Raw genomic sequence first — 22,090 nt, 5'->3', positions numbered from 1 at the left:
GTAATACCAGCTACTCGGGAGGCTGAGGCAGGAGAATCGCTTGAACCCAGGAGGCGGAGGCTGCAGTGAGCCGAGATCACGCCATTGCACTCCAGCCCGGGAGACAAGAGCGAGACTTCCTCTCAAAACAACAACAACAACAACAAAATTCTGTTGTGTGACAATAGCATGATTTATGAACTCATTCTACTGTGAATAGAACTACAAGTATTGTTGTTTGCTGTTATGAATGAGGCTGCCATGAAAGTCTCCTGTAAAGAGGTACAAGAGTTCTCCAGGAATAAGGTCTAGGAGTGGAATTGTTGAGTCTTAGAATATGCAGAAGTTCAATTTTACAAGACAGTGCCAAGCTTTTCCAAAGTGATTTTATCAACTCACATTCTCACCAGTGATATGTAAGAGTTCCTGTTAGTCCACATCCTCACCAACACTTGATATAGTCAGCCTTTACTTTTTACTAACCTAGTAAGTATAAAATAGTATCTCAGTTGGGGTCATTCCTGAGCTGTTTTCATCTTTCCCAACTCTGACCATATTCCAAGCCATCCAAGACCTGTGGATCTAGAAAAAATTAAAGGAAGTAGAGAGAGGTAGAAAGCATCATGTTGAGCCATGGAGACACAGAAATTGATCTGAAATTGAGTTGATCCCTGCAAAAGCATTTTCAGTGAGACCCAAGGTTATGTAACATGTACATTCATACCTTAAATTAATATATATGTATATTTTTGTTTCTTCCAAGTGCCAGTTAGTTTTCTAGGTCCAAGGATATCACAGTGCATGAAACAGACAAGTCCTTGCCCTCATGAGGGGACAATAAAGAAATAGATTTAGGATATAATATCAGAAAGTGAAGGCCAGTTTTGGGGCCAGATAGGCCAGTGCTCAAATTCATTCTCCACACCACACCAGACACTTGACTTCTCTGAGCCTCTTTCATCTTTTATAAACAACAGTTATCATCTTGCAGGGCTACTGTGAGAATTAGGAGCTGGTATATAAAGATTAGTATTCTCTCCTGTCTGGGGCAAGAGGATCCAAGGATCTCAAGGATGGGGCAATAGCATCTTCTAGATTGCCCCTCCTGGAGCTGGACCCACAGGACAACACTTCTCATAAATGTTGACAGAAGCCTGTTCACCTCTGCCAACCAGCACTAGCCTGTTCATTGCATCCTCATAACTACTGATCACCTTCTCCCACTTCCTTTAACGGACATCTTGATTCCAATCCTGCTTTTTTTCCCTCTCTGTGAAGCTGTAATCTTTGGTATCAAGCTGTGTTCTTTCCAGCCACACCATCCTCCTTGCTATTTTTCAGATGTTGTAGATAATCTTATTTACGTACTGATTTTTAACAAACCGACTAGTAAAAATATATATGAGTCAATCTGGGAAAGTTGAATGTTAGTTAATATTCAATGATATTAAGGAATTATTGACAATTTTTGAAGTGTGACAGTGATGTGGCATGTCAAAGGAAAGTGCTCCTGTCTTTAGGAATACATACTGAATTTTTTTTTGGATGATATTATATGATGTCTTGATTTGCTTTAAAATAATCCAGTGGGGGTGTTGATTAATTGGTTGGCAGTATAGCAGCAGATGAATGGATACATGGGGTTCCTTATACAATTCTGTCTACTTTTGTATAGTTTAAATTTTTCCATAATAAAAAGTAAGAAAAAATGATGCAAATATGCTTCTGCCTTAGGGCCTATGCACATGCTGTCACCTCTGCCAGGAATATTGTTCTTCCAGGTTGCCACATAGTGTGCTTCCTTAATTTATTCTGGCCTCTGCTCAAATGTCACCTCTTAAGAGGGGCCTTCTCCGACTACCTTACACAAAACAGCATCCCTCTTATCCTGTTTACTTTTCTAGTCCTTTATCCTACTTACTTACTCTTTTTTCTAGTCCTTTATCCTGCTTTTTTTAAATAATACTCTTCATTAACTGATATTTGTCATCTTTGCGATCGTAAAAATTATAGGCCCCATTCGGAGAGGGACTTAATTTGTTTCTTGCACTGCAATGTCTCCATGCCTTGAACAGTGTGCTGCATGTAAGAAAAACTCAAAAAATGTTATTTAAATAAATAGGCCGGGCGCAATGGCTCATGCCTGTAATCCCGACACTTTGGGAGGCCAAGGCGGGCAGATCACCTGAGGCCAGGAGTTCCAGACCAGCCTGGCCAACATGGCGAAACCCCATCTCTACTAAAAATACAAAAATTAGCCGGGTGTGGTGGTGCATGCCTGTAATGCCAGCTGCTGAGCAGCTGAGGTACAAGAATCACTCGAACCCAGGAGGCAGAGGTTGCAGTGAGCCAGGATTGTGCCACTGCACTCCTGCCTGGGTGACAGTGAGATTCCATCTCAAAAAAAAAAAAAAAATATATATATATATATGTATAATTTAAATGAATGAATGTACATGTTATACAGCTCAGAGTCCTCATCAAAGCCAAATCAGTAAACCTGCTATATTGAGTTACTCTATCTGCCACCAATTGATTGTCCAGAGTCTGTCTGACTCATGCGTTTAGGGATGGGAGAAAGCACTTTGCAAATGCTAAGGCCCTATATAGTTTAGTTTTCATTATTTCCAGTCCAGTTTGGAGGGACTAAAAGAATTGTCAGATTACTACACTGAGGTCAGCAGTGTAGTAATGTCTTAGAAAAGCTTCCATTTTAGAATAGGCTCTTCTCGAGGTCACTGCCTAGAAACAACTGTACTGTGGCTAACTTAACCCTTAGAAACATAGAACATTGGCCAGGGGCGGTGGCTCACGCCTATAATCCCAGCACTTTGGGAGGCCGAGGAAGGCAGATCACTTAAGGTCAGGGGTTCGAGACCAGCCTGGCCAACATGGTGAAACCCCGTCTCTACAAAAATACAAAAATTAGCTGGGCATGGCAGCAGGCGCCTGTAGTCACAGCTACTCAAGAGGCTGAGGCAGAAGAATTGCTTGAACCCGAAGGCAGAGGTTGCAGTGAGCCGAGATCGTACCACTGCACTCTAGCCTCGGTGACAGAGCAAGACTCCATCTCAAAAAAAAGAAAGAAAAGAAACATAGACCATCATGTTATTCCACAAATGAACACAGGCTTCTCCTTTTCCTGGACATAATATAACTGCCCTATCCTTTGAAAAACGTAATTTTGGATTGCATTTCCAATAGTACTGAATTTACTCTGAGCTCCTTACAGCTGCAGACTGATCCTTTTCTGTACCATTGTGCACATTAACACAAGACTGACCTGGCCTCTGCCCGTGGAACCAAGGAAATCAGCATCCCGTCTTCACTCAGCAAACCAAAGGGACTTGAAGGACGTATGCCTCTCATTCTCCCTCCTTACCTTCCCTGCTCTGTTTAATGTGATATCAGTCATTTCTGGACACTTGCCAGATCTTGACTTCTGGGACTTTGGTTCTGCTCCCCACACCGGTTTCAAGGAGTTAATAGTAAAGACAGCTACTGATTTAGAAGGCTTTAGAGCTGCCCATTCCACAAAGACTTGCCCACAGGCAGAAGGTAAACAACTCCAACAAAACTTCAGTGTTTTTTTATGAAGCAACAAATTTTGAAAATCATGAGTTTATTTAAGGATTTCAAATGTAGTGTATTTTACTTCAGACAAATAAACATACTTCTCCAAGATTCTATGAACAATCATATTGCAGGCATTACATATAACACATATGTAGCATATGTATATGATATCAAAGACCTTTCTTATCTAAACTATACTCATAATGGAGTGTTACATAATTACTATAATGATGCATAAAAGGAGAATATGATTTTAATATGAGAAATTCTTAAACTTACTAAAGTTTGTGTAAATAGTGCTAAATGAGCATTTTCAAAATGTTTGCTTTATATCTGCCTTCAAGGAGATTTTTCTGCTTAGAAAAGACCAAGTAGGCCCAGTATTAGGTTCCCACATTTTGTAAATCTGACTAATGTGGACTGTGGCTCTTTTCACAAATAAATTTTTATGGAAAAGAGCCTGGAATTCTGGGAAGGGCCACTCCCATGCAGTAATGATGCCTTATTTTCAATAGTTTCCATGAGAAAGGAAGCATAAAACAAAAAATACACATAGCATGACCGACTTCTGCCTCATGCAAAGGTGAGGCCAGGAGGAGACAATGCAAGAACTGAGCAAGAAAGCAAAAATGTTCACCACAGTGGGCCTTAGGGGAGGCCAGGAGTGCTTTCAATCTCCTTCTAAGAATAAAATGTCACACCTCACATTAAAATGAAATCATTTTTCACAGACTTTGTATGGAGAGGCCTTTCCCTTTGTCTAATGACTAGTTCTTAAAATGAATTCTGAGCTTGGGGGACAGCCAGTGATGAAGAAACATTGATCACTGGAGGACGGGAGAAGCAAACTCATGGAAGGATGGCTGTAGTAAATAGTTCATCATTATCAAGATGTATGATATAGAAGTCTATTTTGTGCTTCACTACCCTAGCCTAGATGAATTCATGAAATTGTATGTATATTATATTTAATTTATCATGAAATATTTCAGACTTTCAAAAAAGCATAAAGAATAATAAATGCCAGGCATAGTGGCTCACACCTGTAGTCCCAGCACTTTGAGAGGTTGAGGCAGGCAGATCACTGGAGCCCAGGAGTTTGAGACTGGCCTGGGCAACATGACAAAACCCTATCTCTACAAAAAATACAAAAATTAGCCAGATGTGGTGGCATGTGCCTGTAGTCCCAGCTACTCAGGAGGCTGAGGTGGGAGGATCACCTGAGCTAGGGAGGTTGAGGCTGCAATGAGCCATGATCATGCCACTGCATTCCAGCCTGGGTGCAAGAGTGAGACCCTGTGAAAGAAAGAAAGAGAGAAAGGGAGAAAGGGAAAAAGGGAGGAAGGGAGGGAAGGAAAAGGGGAAGGGAAGGGAAGGGCAGGGAAAGGAAGGGAAGGGAGAAAAGAAAGAGTAATAAATTCTCATGAACCCTTAATCCATCTTAAAAATAAAACCTTATCAAAACTTTATCAATATTGACTTTATCAATCAATCTTTCAGAGTATTGACTTATTGATAAAGAAGGGCTCTGTGTACTCCCAGAGATTGCATTCCCCTCCATACAGGGATAACTAATATTCTGAATTGAGTGTTTATCATCCCATGTGTTTCTTGAAAATTATATTTCATGCCAACTCTGTGGAAGTTATTAACATACTCTTTCAATTTAAAGCTCTAGGGCACTTTTTAAATTGTGCTAAAAATATCTCTCATTGCTATAATAAGTTTATATTAAAAATATTTTTAGCATAAAATGAAGCTTTCCACCATACATTATTTTAAATGAGTCAACTAATTGGTAGTAAATATCCCAAGTCAAATAATAGTTGCAAGAGATCTGGGGACTCTGAGGATTAAATTTATGGTTTTCATTCTACCATATTTTAAACTGAAAAAAAAATCAGCCATTCAAAAGTAGAAGGAACCCTTGATTACCTGGAGCTTGGCCAATGCTCATGGAATATCTAATCAATGGACAGTAGCCAGAACCAAACACTTTAAAGGGGCTAATGACTAAACAGTGTATTCTATACTCTCTAAGGGGAGCAAAATTCCCAATGAACTCAGCCTTGTGTTTGACCATCCCTACTTATAACTTAGGCATGTTTCAGAGTTGTGTGAATGCTTGTTAACCAGCAGGGCACCCTTTAATAAATCTCTGTACTGTTATAGTCACCCAAGAGGCTTTGCCTACTAGAAGCCAACTGCTCTTGCCAGAGTGGGAGAAAAATTGATACACTTAGAAAGGGTATTGTTTTAGGCTGGGTAAGGAAAATATGAATGGGTCACACAAAGCACAGTTTATTTTGTGAAGGGCCGGGTCAATGACACAATGACGGAAACTGTCAGCAAGGAAAGCTACAGTCTAGCACTTGGTTTGTTGGGCTTTAGTTCCTAGGACAAAGACCTTGTATTCTTAATACAAGTCCACAATGTTTTGTCTGAAATTTTGAAATCCAAAGAACTCTTGAAATTGACAATTTGTCATATCTCAAAATGCCAAAACCTTGGACTAGTCTGAACTCATTTAGTGGCAAATTATCACCTGAACTGATGTCAGGCTATTTAAAATCTATTTAAACCATTTACTGTTACTATTTATACATTTCACTGCAGAAATATGAATGTGTTTGATTAGAAGACTTTGCTCCAGACTCCCTGGAGGTGCTATAATATATAGAATTACTATTCTAAAGTCCAAAAACTTCTGAATCTTAGAATATGGTTGGCCCTACAGGTTTCAAATAAGAGATTGTGGAACTAGAATCGCTATCACTAATTTAAGAGATACCGTAGGCTGCAGCTATTAGCCTTTTGACTATCTCATTTGATTCTCACATCAACCCTATGACTGAGATAAACATATTTCTGCACCTTTGCTGTTCAGTATATATTTCTGCACCTATATGTTCAGTATATACATATAACCGAAAGTTAAATAAGATTTTTCCTGTCACCTCTTGATTGCTGGGAAAACCCCAAAGCTGAGAACATTGGATCCTAAAACTGAGGAAAATAGGTGCTTGTACTTCCCATTCATAATTCTCAAGAAATCCTTTAGCTGTGTGGTGAGTTCCCTCTCTTCACCACGCTTCTTTTGTGCTTCTTCCTTCTCCATTCCCAACCCAAGCCACATGAGGAGGACAGTAAGAGAATCTCTGGTAAATTTGTACATTTGGAAAGGGCCTGTGAGGAGAGAGTCATTCCCCGGCTGAAGTTATAATTATGCCCTGATATTGCTGATTTATCCATTATGCCCATTTGAGCATAAGGAAAAAGAAATCAGGGAGTGACAACAAGGAAGGGAGACAGGACAGTTTAGGAGCAGGCTGCTCCCTTGCTGAGGTAGTAGGACAGCTGCACTCAAAGAGGGCACCATGTTAGCCTTAGCTGGTAAAACACAAATAGGTCAGTGGAAACAGTTGTGTGTTTTGGTTTTATTTTTTTGTATGAGTAATTTGTCAGATTTCTCTTGGGCTTGGCAAGGATCTGAGTGGACCCTGATGAAGACAGATAGGCTTGAGCCATCTTGGAGGTGCCCCGCCCAAGAGGGCTGCCTGTGGGGCAAAAGGACCCAAGATCAAGGGGCGGCAGGACTGGAAAAGAGGGATAGGAGAGGGGGTTGGTGGATTTTAAAAAGCATCAGGCTAGCTTCTCTCTAGTCAGAGAACTAAACAGTGGGGAGGACCCCTATAGCAGTCCCCAGAGAACCCTACATATGCTCCACTGGATGCCTGTTTTGCAGAGACCATCTACAGCCAAGAGGGGACAACACAGCAAGGTTAAGTAAAAAGATGTTCGCCATTTTTCATTGCCCTCTCCCTTGCAACGGTACATGGAGGAGAAAAGGACCCAGGAGTGTGTGTGTGCAGATGGGTCGCCCTTTTAAGCTTCTCACATTTTGAAATCCACTGTTAACTCCATGCCCACCCCCATCCCATCACATCCTTTCCTCTACCCTTGGCAGAGAAACTCTCTGGCTCAGACATGAACAAAAGAACATTGTTATCTCAGCACAGTAAAGCAAGCTGGAATTTCCCAAAGGAATATGATTGAAGATAAAAGAACGTAAAGAAAACACAAAGTTCATAAGTACAGTGAGGCTGAGAAAGCACAGATTTCTCCTCCTACAATAACCAAACAGCACTAGGCTCTCACCAGTGGTGTCCACACCCTCCTGAGAATCCCATCCAGTGAAACTGTATCTCAGATCACCCAGATACTTTCACTCCACATCCTTCTTAGTCTTCATGCCTTCTTAGAGGGAGGTTTGAAGGACATCCTGGCTGGATAATAGGTGATACACACATGGATAAAGAAATAGTACTGTTTCTTAGCTTTTGAGTCTGATAGACCTGAGTGACCTTATGAAAATTACTTCACCTCTCTGAGCTTTTTATCATCCATATAGCACCTATTTCATAGTTATGAAACATTCACATAAGTGCCTGCATATGATAAATACTCAAAAAAGTTTCCTATCTGCAATGGACTGAATATATACCCCCCGCTCCACACCCTACATTCATATATTGAAATCCTAGCCCCTAGTGTGATGATATTAGGAGGAGGGACCTTTGGGAGGTAATATGTCATAAGGGTGGAGCCCTCATGAATGGCATTAGTGCCCTTATAATGCCTTCAGAGAGCTCTCTTGTCCTCTTTCTGCCTTGTGAGAGTCCATTGAGAAGTTGGCAGTCTGCAACCTGGAAAAGGGCCATCCCGGAATCAACCATGCTGGCACCCTGATCTCAGACTTCCAACCTCCAAAACTCCATCAAGTAAATCTCTGTTGCTTCTAAGCCATTCAGTCTATGACACTTTGTTGCAGCAGCCCTAACTGACTAAAATGCTATCATCATCATTATTATTACTAGTATTAATGATATCATCATGGGAAGACACCACCTGGCTCTGTCTTCCTTCTCTCTACATTTATATGTATTAATTTCCTCATTCTTTCTCACATTCCTCCTACCCTCATGGGTAGGTAAAGTTTATTTCTTTTTCCTTTAAACTGATCGCCCTGTTGATTGAATAAACTATATCATAGATTTGTTGGAATAAGCTATATCAAACTCATCAATCCACCCCTAGGCGAAGCTTGGCTTCTTTACCTACAGTGCTAGCCTGGCATCTGGACTTTAGTATAATGACACAATATTACATCCCAGGTGATAAGGTTTGGCTCTGTGTCCCACCCAAATCTCACGTCAAATTGTAATTCCTAATGTTAGAGGAAGAACCTGGTGGGAGGTGATTCCATCATAGGGGTGGATTTCCCCCTTGCTGTTCTTGTGACAGTGAGTGAGTTCTCACAGGATCTGGTTGTTTAAAAGTGTGTAGCAAGGCCGGGTGCGGTGGCTTATGCCTGTAATACCAGCTGTTTGGGAGGCTGAGGCGGGTGGATCATCTGAGGTCAGGAATTTGAGACCAGCCTGGCCAACATGGTGAAACCCCGTCTCTATTAAAAATACAAAAAATTAGCTAGACGTGCTGGCGGGCACCTGTAATCCCAGCTACTTGGGAGGCTGAGGCAGGAGAATCGCTTGAACCCAGGAGGCAGAGGTTGCAGTGACCCAAGATCGCGCCATTGCACTCCAGCCTGGGTGACAAGAACGAAACTCTGTCTCAAAAAAAAAAAATGTGCAGCACTTCCCCTTTTGCTCTCTCTCTTCTGCTCCAATGTGTAAGGACATGCTCACTTCCCTCTCACCTTCTGCCCATGATTGTAAGTTTCCTGAGGCCTCCCAACCAAGCTTCCTGTACAGCCTGTGGAACTGTGAGTCAATTACACCTCTTTTCTTCATAAATTACCCAGTCTCAGGTAAATCTTTATAGCAGTGCAAGAATGGACTAATACATCAGAACTAGCTAAACATTTCTATTTCATGTTTAAAGGATATCTTTATTTTCCAAACCCCAGTGGTGAACCTCCTCGAGGCCAGCCATTCATCACATGTTCCCCGACTCATATGGCTCATGCTTGAGCCAGGTAAACCACAGCCTCTTCACTGCCAGCCAGGCATCAGACAAATCCAGGCTCAAACCTGGGCTCAGTACGAAATTACTAATAGTAAGTGCTTAATCTTTCTAATTTTCAATTCACTCCTTGTGGAATTGTGATTAGGATATCTCCCACAAGAGTCTTTGTGAAGGTTAAATAAGAAAATGAATGCCAAGCACTTAATGCAGAGGCTGGTCCACATCACCACAGGCTCAGTAAATGGTGGCCAACATCATTAGTACGTGTTTATGATATCACAACTACTTTACATCAACAGTTAGGTGGACAATACATATCAAAAGAAAAAAGGACTTTCTTTTACATAGTCTCTCACCCATGTAGAACCTACTCAGTAAACCAGTGGTTCTCAACCTTGAGATACACATTAAGAGTCACCTGTTTACCCTTGAATCTTAATAATGTCCTACTCTCTTAAGATAGAAGTACAAATAGCACACGTATGGACCTGGGTACTACTGGTTTCTTAATTATGGTCTATCTTTATTAACAACTCCAAATCGTAATTGAACACAGTTTCCCTGCATTTATTGGTCTTAGGAGTCTGATGGTTAAAGGCAAGAAATTTGACTTTAACACTAATGTGTTGATATTTCACACTTACATTTACTAGCTGGGGCCACATGCCCCAGCCTGACCTTTGTTTCTATCCAAAGTCCTTTCTGCAAAGTGCAGTCATTTCTGCCCCATAGCAGGAGCTAAAGCACTTGCTAAATAAATGAATTCACAGCAGAGAATGGCTAAATGCCCTTCATGTTACAATGTTGGATGAACAATGAGTGGTTCATGGATAAGAGACGTGGCATACTGGCCAGGCGCAGTGGCTTATATCTGTAATCCCAGCACTTTGGGAGGCCGAAGTGGGCAGATCACCTGAGGTCAGGAGTTCGAGACCAGCCTGACCAACATGGAGAAACCCCGCCTCTACTAAAAAACACAAAATTAGCTGGGCGTGGTGGCGCATGCCTGTAATCCCAGCTACTCAGGAGGCCGAGGCAGGAGAATCGCTTGAACCTGGGAGGTGGAAGTTGCGGTGACCTGACTTCGCGCCATTGCACTCCAGCCTGGGCAACAAGAATGAAACTCCATCTCAAAAAAAAAAAAAAAAAAAAGAGAGAGAGAGAGAGAGACGTGGCATCCTTTCTTTGAAATATACCAAGGGGAGGCAATGCGATGAGCTTCTGAGTCAGACACATCTGTGTCCCTGGGGAGATCAATTAACCTATCTGAGTCTCTATAAGGATGAAGATAATGACAGCACCTACCTCCTGAATGGTTGGGAGGATTAAATGAATCCATCAATGAGCAGTGCACAGCTTTTAAGACATAGTCTCCTTGATGCTGATCTCACATCCTTTCTTTTTTTTTTTTCCTTTTCTGAGACAGAGCTTTGCTTTGTTGCCCAGGCTGGAGTGCAGTGGCACCATCTCGGTTCACTGCAACGTCTGCCTCCTGGGTTCAAGCGATTCTCCTGTCTTAGCCTCCAGAGTAGCTGGGATTACAGGTGTGCCACCACCACGCCCAACTAATTTTTGTATTTTTAGTAGAGACAGGGTTTCGCTGTGTTGGCCAGGCTGGTCTTGAACTCCTGACCTTGGGTGATCCGTCTGCCTCGGCCTCCCAAAGTGCTGGGATTATAGGCAAGAGCCACCATGCCTGGCCTCGTATCCTTTCTTGGGGTTGCCCCAACCTCTCTTTCTTATTTTCATTCACTTTCTAGTTTCTGACCAGGGATCTTCTTTGGGAAGATTACATCTGGAGAATCATGTTTATTTCTGAGCATTTGAAGAGGGCTTTGTCCAGGACTATAAAGGCCAGAAAACTGTCATGTGAAAAGTGGACTTTTAGACATTAGGTAAAAACTAAGGCAATGTGAATAAAGTATGGACTTTAGTTAATAATATCAGTTTATTAGCTGTAACAAATGTACCATAATGACATAAATAATAGGGGAAACTAGGTGTGGGGTATGTGAGAACTCGCTGTAATATTATTGCAACTTTTATATCAATCTAATACTATTCTAAAATAAAAAGTTTATTCACTGTTAAAAATATTTATCAATATTAAAACCATAAAAGTCAAAATTTACATATATGTTTATAATTTATTCCTATATGTACATGACAAGAAATTATCAGAATAAAAGTGGAATTTTTTTTTTTTTTTGGTAGAGTCAGTGTCTCACTATGTTGACCAAGCTGGTCTCAAACTCCTGGCCTTAAGCAATCCTCCCATCCTCGCCTCCGAAAGTGCTGGGATTATAGGCATTGAGGCACCATGCCTGGCCAAGAAATTATTTTAATGGACCTCTAGTCAGGAATAAGAAACACATTGGGGAAATAATAATATTGGTTACTTTCTTAAAATATTTGCAGGCCTCTATTGTGTGGAAGGTAAGATATATGCCGTATAGTTCCCAAGGCAGAAATAATGAGCAGAAATGACAGATAATCCAGTTTTACCTCAGTTGATGATTAAAACTGTACCCCCACATACACACACAAAATGGACACATTGTAAAGTAGTATATAAACTCTTTGAAAGTTGTCATGCAGAAGGCAGATGACCACCCATTGAGGGGATGTTGCAGTGAGTAGATAAGAAGTTTCACTTGACAAAATTGTATATATTTTATGACCATTTGCTTATCCTTATGTCCATCGGTTCTACCTTGCCCTTTTCTACCTTCATCCTTTTGATCCATTAAGTTTTGAATTTGGAAAGGACTTCAGAGACTATGTAGTTCTTATCTGGGGTGTGATTTTCTGACATTCTTCTTGACCCCTGGTATTATAGGCAAACACATCACTAGGAATCCCACTTGTTCAGCTTAAATCACTATTGTTTGTTCTTTCTTACTCTGGCTCAAGATCCTCATCTCAGGCTTTCCTTGCTTTGACAACCTGTTTGGAGTCACTTCTCCAGCTCCAACATTAGAAATCTCGCAGATTTGTTCTTGCCCTTCTGACATACAACTTGGAGCTATGATTGGTCCTTCTGCCCCATACCGTCCCATGGACCTGCTGGGCAATGAGAAACAAAAAACCATCTGTGATGGATCACTGCCCTGGCCCTGAGGCTGACATCCAGACTGAGTCATTATTTTCATGTGTCATATTTCTCAGATTATGGCCTTATATTTAGTGCACAAATGGATCCTAGAAATGAAACAGAAATGCAACTTGGAAAATGCACCATGACTCACAAAACAGATAAACTGCACCAAACCATAATGTGCCACACACACAATCTAAGATCAAATTAACCCTATCTCCTTCAGATTCACATCTTCCAAGTAAGACCACAGATAAACTGACTTAACTGAAATTTTGCAGACTCATATCTTGTGCAGATGGGACCACTGACTCTCCTAACAGCTCACTTCATTTACATATTCTGACCAATCCCTGCTAAGACCACACTTACTATCTGCCACCTAAAACCACCTGATTATTAACTGCAGCCCCTACCCAAGTACCCTTCCCTGACTCCTTCCTTTTGGGACACCGTCACAGTTGTGCTGTGCCTTGCTCAGTATGCATAATAAACCCAGCTTTGGATAATCAACAGGTACTCCTGGTGATCTTTGATTAGAGAGTCTAACAATTCTTTTGCCTGGTTATGCTCATTTTCTTCTTGTTTGCCAAGCACACTCCTACTCTTGCTTCAAGAATCAACTTAAATATCACTATGAGTCTGCCCTGATTTATTCTTCACCTTTATCCTCTGCACTACTAGTTACCTCATCCTCTGTGTTGCCCAAGCACTTGGCCCAGACTTCCATTAGCTTTCATCTCACTATATTTTCATTCTTTTGTTTATGTCTGCCCACTCCTTCCACCTTTCCTTAAAAGCAAGAACACTTTTATGCATGTTTGTATGTTCAATGTTTACCCTGGTCCTAGATACCAAATAGACACTGAATAAATAATTGTTACTTAAACCCAGATTATTATTCATAACAAAACTGCAAACAGAGCTTTAAGGGATACGTGTGTTACTTATTCTTTCTCAGCCATCATATATGTACAAGGAAGCCTCATGTACAAATTTCCACAAAACCCTTTCCTCTGTGGTAAGAAGAGTCTCTAAAACCAGATACTGGGTGGCCAGGGTCAAAAGTGGTGATATAGGATTATAGGGACCCAGGTGATGGGCATGACAAATACTGTTTGTAATTCTATCTTGCAAAGAGGAAAAACAGCCCAGCAGTTTCATTTTACAAATTATTTTAATTATGCCTGCCTGGTTGTTACTGGTGGAAGATGTCCAGGTTCTTGGTGTTTTAAACAAAGAATTGGACAAACGCACAAACAAAGCAACCAACAAAAGCATAGATTTATTAAAATAAAAGTACACTCCACAGAGTGGGAGCAGGCTCCAGCAAGCAGCTCAAGAGCGCGGGTTACAGAATTTTCTGGCACAAGGCAACCAGTGCGGCTGAAGTGAAGTTACAAAGTTACACCGTACGCAAATGTCTGATTGGTTGCAGAAGGGTACCAATCAGAGGTGCCTTCCATTTTTCATCTGCAACACAGAAGGTGGGGGGTGTTGCAAAGGAAGTAGCCTCTGATCCTTTTGTTACTTGGGTGTGGAAAGTTGGAGTTTTCCTTTTGATTCAGTTCTAGGGAAGTCAGCATGAAGTCAGCCTTAAGTTCCCTGCCTCCAGACCCTATTCTGCCTCAGGCTGGGTAGGATGGAAATTTTTTTTTTTAATTAATTACTAAAACAATACATAACTTAATTTCTTATAAAAAACAGCTGGGTGTGGTGGCACACACCTGTAGTCCCAGTCACTCAAGAGGCTGAGGCAGAAGGATCACTTGAGACCAGGAGTTTATATATGTAATGGATAAAACTAAAGTCTCTTAGAACACCACTTCCATCCTGATGCAAGCACTACTTTTCCAAAGGTATTTGCTGTTATTAGTTAAATATGCATCCTTCCAGATTATTTCCATGCATTATATACATAGGAAAAATATAGTACTGTTTTGTGCGTGTGTTTAATACAAATGTAATCAAGACTAAATGTCTTTATTTATTTTTGAGACAGAGTCTTGCTCTTTTACCCAGGCTGGAGTGCAGTGGCACTATCTCAGCTCACTACAACCTCTGCCTTTCGGGTTCAAGCGATCCTCCTGCCTCAGCCTCCCGAGTAGCTGGAATTACAGGCGCCTGCCACCACACCTGGCTAATTTTTGTATTTTTAGTAGAGACGGGGTTTGGCCATGTTGGCCAGGCTGGTCTTGAACTCCTGACCTCAAGTGATCCGTCCACCTGCCTCCCAAAGTGCTGGGATTACTGGCGTGAGCCACTGTGCCCAGTCAAGACTAAATGTCTTTAAACCTTCATATGCATGTGAGATACGGATGGTAAAGATTTAATGAAAGAGGTTCATTTGCTTGGCTCTGTTACTTAACCTGTGTCTAAGTAAAAATGTTAAGAACTGAACATACTCAGAGCATGTGTGTATTCTGCATATAGCATATTAATACTTATATTAATAAATATACATCTATATTATATTATCCTTATGTTACCCAAAGATAATGACTGATTCCCATTATAGCTCAAAGGGAATGTTGTGAAGATTAATGAGAGAGTTCCTAAAACTATTTCAGCTCTTTAGAATGCAAAAGCTAAAAATAAAGCTGTATGCTTTAAGTGATCAAAAACATCTGAATGCACAAGCTACATATTATCTTTAGTGGAAAAATAATTATTACTTTATATTGAAAAGGCTCATACCTAGTCATAAAATTCTTATTCAACACTAGAAAAATCATAACGTAAATATCTCCTTTCTCAGTTACTTATATAAAACTCTAGTTTACCTGTGTAAATGGGTCATCATTACATGTATAATTTTATATTTTAGAATAGGAAAATCACATTCATGCTCAATAATTTGTTTTCAGTGCCAACTTGAAGTTTTTCCAACCAAACATTGAGAATGCACTTTTGAAATGTATGATGAAAAAGTATCAAGGAATGATGAATTGATGCATTCACAGTTGGAAAGTAGTAAGAGTTTGTGGTTGTGAACTATATTTGCTAATAAATTGCGTTTTAAAAGCTGCAAAAGGCTTTTAGAAATGCAATTAATATGCACATTAATAAGCGTTCCAGGAAATCACCAGCTCAATATGGAAAATTAATATGAGTAAGACACATAGTCACTATAACACTGTGTTTATATAGCCCCTACTTTATGTGTTAAGGCCTTGTCTATCATAAACATGGTTGGAATAGGCAATGCACATTTATACCCAGCTAAGAGTTAATTATCTCCCCACTTAATCATCCGAACAGAGGCTCATTGTAACCAATCTTGTTGGAATTGGGTCATTATCCTGTGCTTTCCTCAGATACAGTGATGTTTTAAGACACATCTTAAAAGGGTAAGTTTTACTAAGGGATCTAGGCTAAAAGAGACTACAGTGAAATTAACCCCTAGGTTTTCTGTCAGAGAATGTATTAGTCAGGGTTCTCCAGATAAATAGAACCAACAGGGGATGGTGTGTGTGTGTGTGTGTGTGTGTGTGTGTGTGTGTGTGTGTGTGTGTACATATATAAAGAGAGAAAGAGAGATTTATTTTAAGGAATTGGCTAAAGCAATTACGGAGACTGGTAAACCCCAAATCTGCAGTTCAAGTGTGAAGACCATCTGCCACTAGAACTCCCTCTGGGGGTGGTGGAGGTCAGCCTTTTGTTGTAGTCAGGGCTTCTTCAATTGATTGGATGAGGCCCATCCACATTAGAGAAAGTAATCTGCTTTACTCAAAGTCCACCGATTTAAACGATTTAAAGTTAATCTCATCCAAAAATACTCCCATAGAAACATCCTGAATAATCCACATATTTGGGCACCGTGGCCCAGCCAAAATGACACATAAAAGTAACCATCATGGAGAACTATGGCAGAAGAGCCTTTGAGGTCTTCCATAACGAAACAAGAATACCTGCTGTCACTGCTAGTCAGCAGCCTATTGGAGAAAATTTTGAAATCTGTGAGAACCAATTAGCTCCTGTTTTTAACAACAAGGCTGCTGTTCCTGAGAAACCCCTCCAAGTCCTGCTCCAGCTCTAGATCTTATCTTTTCAAATCACTTCTCATCAGATAAATATGAAATAGCTCCCACTTACTATTACAGTTAATCTTCTTGCTAAGCATATTTTATTTTATTTTTATTTTTTAAAAATTTATCTACTTTTTAATTTTTTTAAAAAATTATTAAAAAACAAAACCAAAAAAGAATCTTAAAAGAGGCAGAATATTGGCAGGGCATGGTGACTCATGCCTGTAATCCTAGCATTTTGGGAGGCCGAGGAAGGCGGGTCACTTAAGGTCAGGAGTTTGAGACCAGCCTGGCCAACATGGTGAAACCCTGTCTCTACCAAAAATTAACTGGGTGTGGTGGCACGCGCCTATAGTCCCAGCTACTCAGGAGGCTGAGGTGGGAGAATCACTTCAACCCAGGAAGTGGAGGTTACAGTGTGCCGAGATTGTGCCTATGCACTCCAGCCTGGGAGACAGAGTGAGACCCTGCCAAAAAAAGAAAGAAAGAAAGAAAAAGAGTCAAAATATTGTAACAGAAAATTTTCTGGACTGGGAGATAAGGCATCGAAGATGATGAGGAGGAGGAGGATGATGATGATGATGATGATGATGATGATGGCCAGGCACTCTGACAAGTACTGAGCATATTTTATTTCTCTGCATTTATGCAAGATAAATTAGGGTTTAGATGTCAGCTTGTCTGAGGTCACATAGCTAGTAAGTAACAAAGATAGTATCAAAGCCAGGTTTCAGAGAGACTTCAAGTTTCATGCTGTTGCTCCCTAGAGCAAACAGCTTCAAGCAAGCAAACTTGCTTCAAATTTTCATGGCCATGAGGAATTTTGTTGGAGATCTGTGGCAGACTGCTAGTTGCCTACCCAATATCCATTCTCACCTTCTTCTTCAGTAAGTAACAGGATCACTGTTTTATTCAGGCAGCAATGTGCCCAGCTAAAAGACTACAACTCCCCAGCCATGATGTAAGCAGAAGTTGCTGAATGATCCCATGCGTCCTGCAACTCCCACTCCTGCTTCCTGTCTGGAATATGAACATGATGGCTTCAGCATACACAAATGTAGCCTGATCTTTGACTATAGTCACTAGCAAGGGGAACGTATTAGAAGAAAACAGACCATAAGCCTACTAAGATTTTTTAAATAAACTTTTTATTTTGAAATAATTTTAGATTTACAGAAAAGTTGAAAAGACATAGTACAAAGAATTCCCGTACCTTGAAAACATTATGCTAAGTGAAAGAAGCCAGTCTTCTGATTACTCTCTCTAAAGCCCACATATTGTATGATTTCATTAACATGAAATATCTAGGACAGGCAAATCCACAGAGACAGAAAATGGATTAGTGGTTTGCCAGGGGCTGGGGAGAAGGGAGAGTGGAGAGTGCTTAATGAGTACAGGGCTCCCTTTTGGGGTTACAAAAATGTTCTGGACTTGGACAGTGGTGATTGTGCATAACACTGTGAAGGCACTGATTCCACTGAATTACTGAATTGGACACTTAAAAATGGTGAGTTTTACCACTATATAAAAAAGTTCCCTTATACCTTCCAACAAGCTACCCCTAATATTAACATCTTACCTTGACATGGGACATTTGTCAAAACCAAGAAATCAATGATGGAATGACACTAGTAACTAAAGATTTCTTCACTCTGTACATTTCACATTCTCTTCTTTTCTGAAAAGGTGTCTTTATTGCAATTACCCTATTTGTGCCCTTTTCCTCCCACTCCATTCTGCTTCCTGCTAGAATGTAGATATGACGGCTGGAATAAGGACAGAAGCCATGCATCAAGCATAGCAGTGCTTGGGTCCCTGATGACTTTGTGAAGTCTTTACATCAGCCCTAAACTGCCATGTCTGGACTTATTTTATGAGAGATAATAAACCGTATGTTTAAGCTGCTATAACTTCAGTCTATGTTGCCAACAACTAGCCTAATCCTAAATGATATAATGTTATAAATTGCTTGGGGTTAACCTTCAGTGTGTATGAAATTTTCTTTCTTTCTTTCTTTCTTTTCTTTCTTTTTTTTTTTTTTTTTAGATGACAGCTCCCTTTGTCGCCAAGGCTGGAGTGTAGTGGCGTGACTGAACCCATTTGAATCCCAGGTTTAAGCAATTCTCCGGCCTCCACCTCCTGAGTAGCTGGGATTACAGGCGCCCACCACCATGCTTGGCTAATTTTTGTATTTTTAGTAGAGACTGGGTTTCACCATATTGGTCAGGCTGGCCTCCTGACTTCAAGTGATCCACCTGCTTTGCCCTCCCAAAGTGCTTGGATTACAGGTGTGAGCCACCGCACCCGGCCATGATGGGAAATTTTCCAAGCTCACAGGGGACATTCAGGAACTGTCAATAATATTGTTTCCATATCATAGAATAGGCTATGAAGGGACAGACTATGAGATGAGGTGATTTAGTCGATATTTTATATTTGAGCTCCCATTAATTCAGTGATAATCCCAGCATAGAGATTTGCCAATTCTTAAACACATTTAATATCCTTTCCACATTTTTATTCTTCTGACTAATGAATAATTGTGATGCTTACAGGATATAGTAAAATTTTTGACAATTTTTTCTAGCTGAGAATAAATGCAAAAGATTCCTTAGCATTTGCTAATGTTCCTGAGATGACCTCAAAACCTCAGGTTTAAATACTTAGATTTTTATTTCATAGTTTGTGATTATATGAGAATGAGTTGCATGAACAAAATATTAAAGTCAATTTTGTTTTTCTTTTAAAATTATTATCATTACTTTTAGCTCTTAGTGGATATGATTTTCATCTTTTCATATTTTACATTCCACAAGACATTGTATTAACAAAGACTTTTTTAAATCCACCTTTTCTGGAAAAGACATTTTTATGTTCACAGGCATTCTGCCTTATGTTTATAGAAGCATCTAGGGAGAAAAAAATGCGTTCATGTTGAGGATGAGTGAATTTTGTCACGCAGGATAAGTAATTTTCACAGACCCTCATTCTATGCAGGTTTTCTCTTTCTCAAGAGATGGGGTCTTACTCTGTTGCCCAGGCGGGAGTGCAGTGGTGCAATCATAGTTTACTGTAACCTTGAATTCCTGGGCTCAAGCGATGCTCCCACCTCAGCCTCCCAAGTAGCTGGGACTACAGGTGTGCACCACCATACCTGGCTAGGTTTTTTTGGTTTTTATAGAAACAGAGTCTCACTATGTTGCCCAGGCTGGTCTTGAACTCCTAGCCTCAAGTGATCCTCCCACCTTGGCCCCCCAAAGTGTTAGGATTACAGGCATGAGCAACCACACCCACACCTGGCCCTCTATGTAGATTATATCTAAATCTCAACATATTAGATGTATACCTTTGATTGATAACTACTTTTCTATAGCATAATAGAAATTGGATTCAGAAATGATCTAGTAGATACTATGCACAGTCTGAAAGGCAACTTAAGTCATCACAGGTCAGTCTGTTTATATTAGAAAACTATATTGATTCAGTGGTATTGATAAGATGCTTTTGGATACAAGTAAAAAAATCAATTAACAAGTGGCATTAAAAGATAGCTTATCTTTTGGTGCATGCCTTTAGTCCTAGCTACTCAGGAGGCTGAGGCAGGAGGATCACTTGAGCCCAGGAGTTTGAGGTTGCAGTGAGCTGTGATTAAGCCACTGTACTCCACCCGGGTGACAGCCTGGGTAACAGACAGTAAGTTGGCTTTTATGCGATATCTTAAGCTTCATCCTCATTGTCACAAAACGGCCTTCTGGGCTTCAAACATCACATCTTTTACCTGATCACATTAAAAACAGAAAGCCTGGGGATGGGGGGTGGGGAGAAACTTTTATTCTTTTCTTCTTTCCAGAAATTCTCAGCAGACTTCACCTCACATCATAAACCAGAACTGGGGTCACAGGGAAGCTAGGAATGGGAGTACTGGGTATTTTCTGTCTCTGTTATAGAATATAGATGGCCCTGCCAGCAAGGAAGGAGACCTTGGGAAGGAAACCAACGAGGTCTGCCACAAGGGTCTTGTAGCTATCGTCACTCCATGTGCCTTGCATCTTTCTTACGGCCAATGAGCTAAAACATGGAGGATGTGAATGTCACATGGGGTGGAAGGAAGAGGAGAGGGCTAAAAGACACATGGCGGCGGGGCATGGTGGCTCACGCCTGTAATCCCAGCACTTTGGGAGGCTGAGGCGGGCAGATCACCTGAGGTCAGGAGTTCGAGACCAGCCTGACCAACATGGTGAAACCCTGTCTCTACTAAAAATACAAAAATTACCTGGGCCTGGTGGCGGGTGCCTATAATCCCAGCTACTTGGGAGGCTGAGGCAGAGAATTGTTTGAACCCGGGAGGCAGAGGTTGCAGTGAGCTGAGATTGCACCACTACACTCCAGCCTGGGTGACAGATTGAGACTCCGTCTTAAAAAAAAAAAATAAAAGACACATGCCTGGTATAGAATGTTAGTCTGATGAATATGTAATGTGCCAGAGTCAGAAAAATTGTAAACTATCCCTAATCCGCAAAGCTATTCAAGTTAGCAGGACAAAACTTCGAGGTTAATCAGATGAATGCTGATATTCAACATTCAGCTGATTTCCCTCAAAAATCTTCAATGGATCTTTTTCCTACTCTCTGAAGCCTCACACATATTGAAAGTGATCTTTCTGTGGGAATTTTCTATCTTAAGTGTTTGACTGGTTTTTCCTCATATTTATTTGTTCATAATTGTTATTCAAGAGCTCTCTTGTGCTGTCCTAGGTTCTGGGTCATTATATGGTAATTCATGGTTAGAAATCCAGAAACCAACGGATAGAGCATTGTTTATTCTGGAAGATAAGATAATCCCTTATTTGCGTTTATTAATGAGGAGCCTCCCTGACCTTAACAGAATACAAAGAAAGATGGCACGCCAAATTCGGGTTTCATTCAATAAAATTGTACCTTCCTATCAACCTACCAAGAGCTATTTTCAGCATTTTCCTTAGAACAAAACAGTTAATGAATAGCAAACCAAAAGGGAAGGTTGACTGGTCACTGTGTATTGTAAAGTGTAGACAAACATCTTTTGTTTTGCTATTGTTAATGATAAACATGATAATGTGCATCTTAATCAAATTTAAAATGTGGGCATTTGAATATTTTTAATTAGAAGGACTAGTGCACAGTGCCACCTTTAGTCAAATCTAGAGTTCCCGTTTCAGGCTTAAATAATAAATGTGGGCATTATTACCTTTTACAATACACCATTGATAGAACACCAACTTTAAAGCCAATTAAAGGTTGGCAATCTTCCTACCATTGGCAAAGTAACACTTGTTAACAGTTCCCCTTGTGACACGTTTCAGCGTAATCACTGATTTCTGGAAACCTTATTTAGCACTTACGGATATTTTGAAATCTCTAATGAGTTTCTTTTTATAGACATTTTT

The 22,090-nt window shown here is 40.5% G+C and overlaps 1 long non-coding RNA gene across 1 annotated transcript in view, besides 1 other annotated feature; it reads right to left on the bottom strand.

The window, feature by feature from the left end:
• Positions 1-22,090, bottom strand: part of LOC105375211 (uncharacterized) — a 75,204-nt gene that overhangs the window by 399 nt on the left and 52,715 nt on the right. The gene's annotated exons all lie outside the window — the stretch shown is intronic.
• Positions 18,374-18,574: a silencer, noted in NCBI's record as "peak6452 fragment used in MPRA reporter construct". NCBI's record gives its function as "represses an SCP1 promoter by STARR-seq MPRAs in K562 erythroleukemia cells {active_cell/tissue: K562}" and the evidence as "EXISTENCE:reporter gene assay evidence [ECO:0000049][PMID:32103011]".

The sequence above is a fragment of the Homo sapiens genome, chromosome 7, assembly GCF_000001405.40.
Source record: "Homo sapiens chromosome 7, GRCh38.p14 Primary Assembly".
NCBI lineage: Eukaryota > Metazoa > Chordata > Mammalia > Primates > Hominidae > Homo > Homo sapiens.
This window is presented reverse-complemented; position numbering and strand designations above follow the sequence as displayed.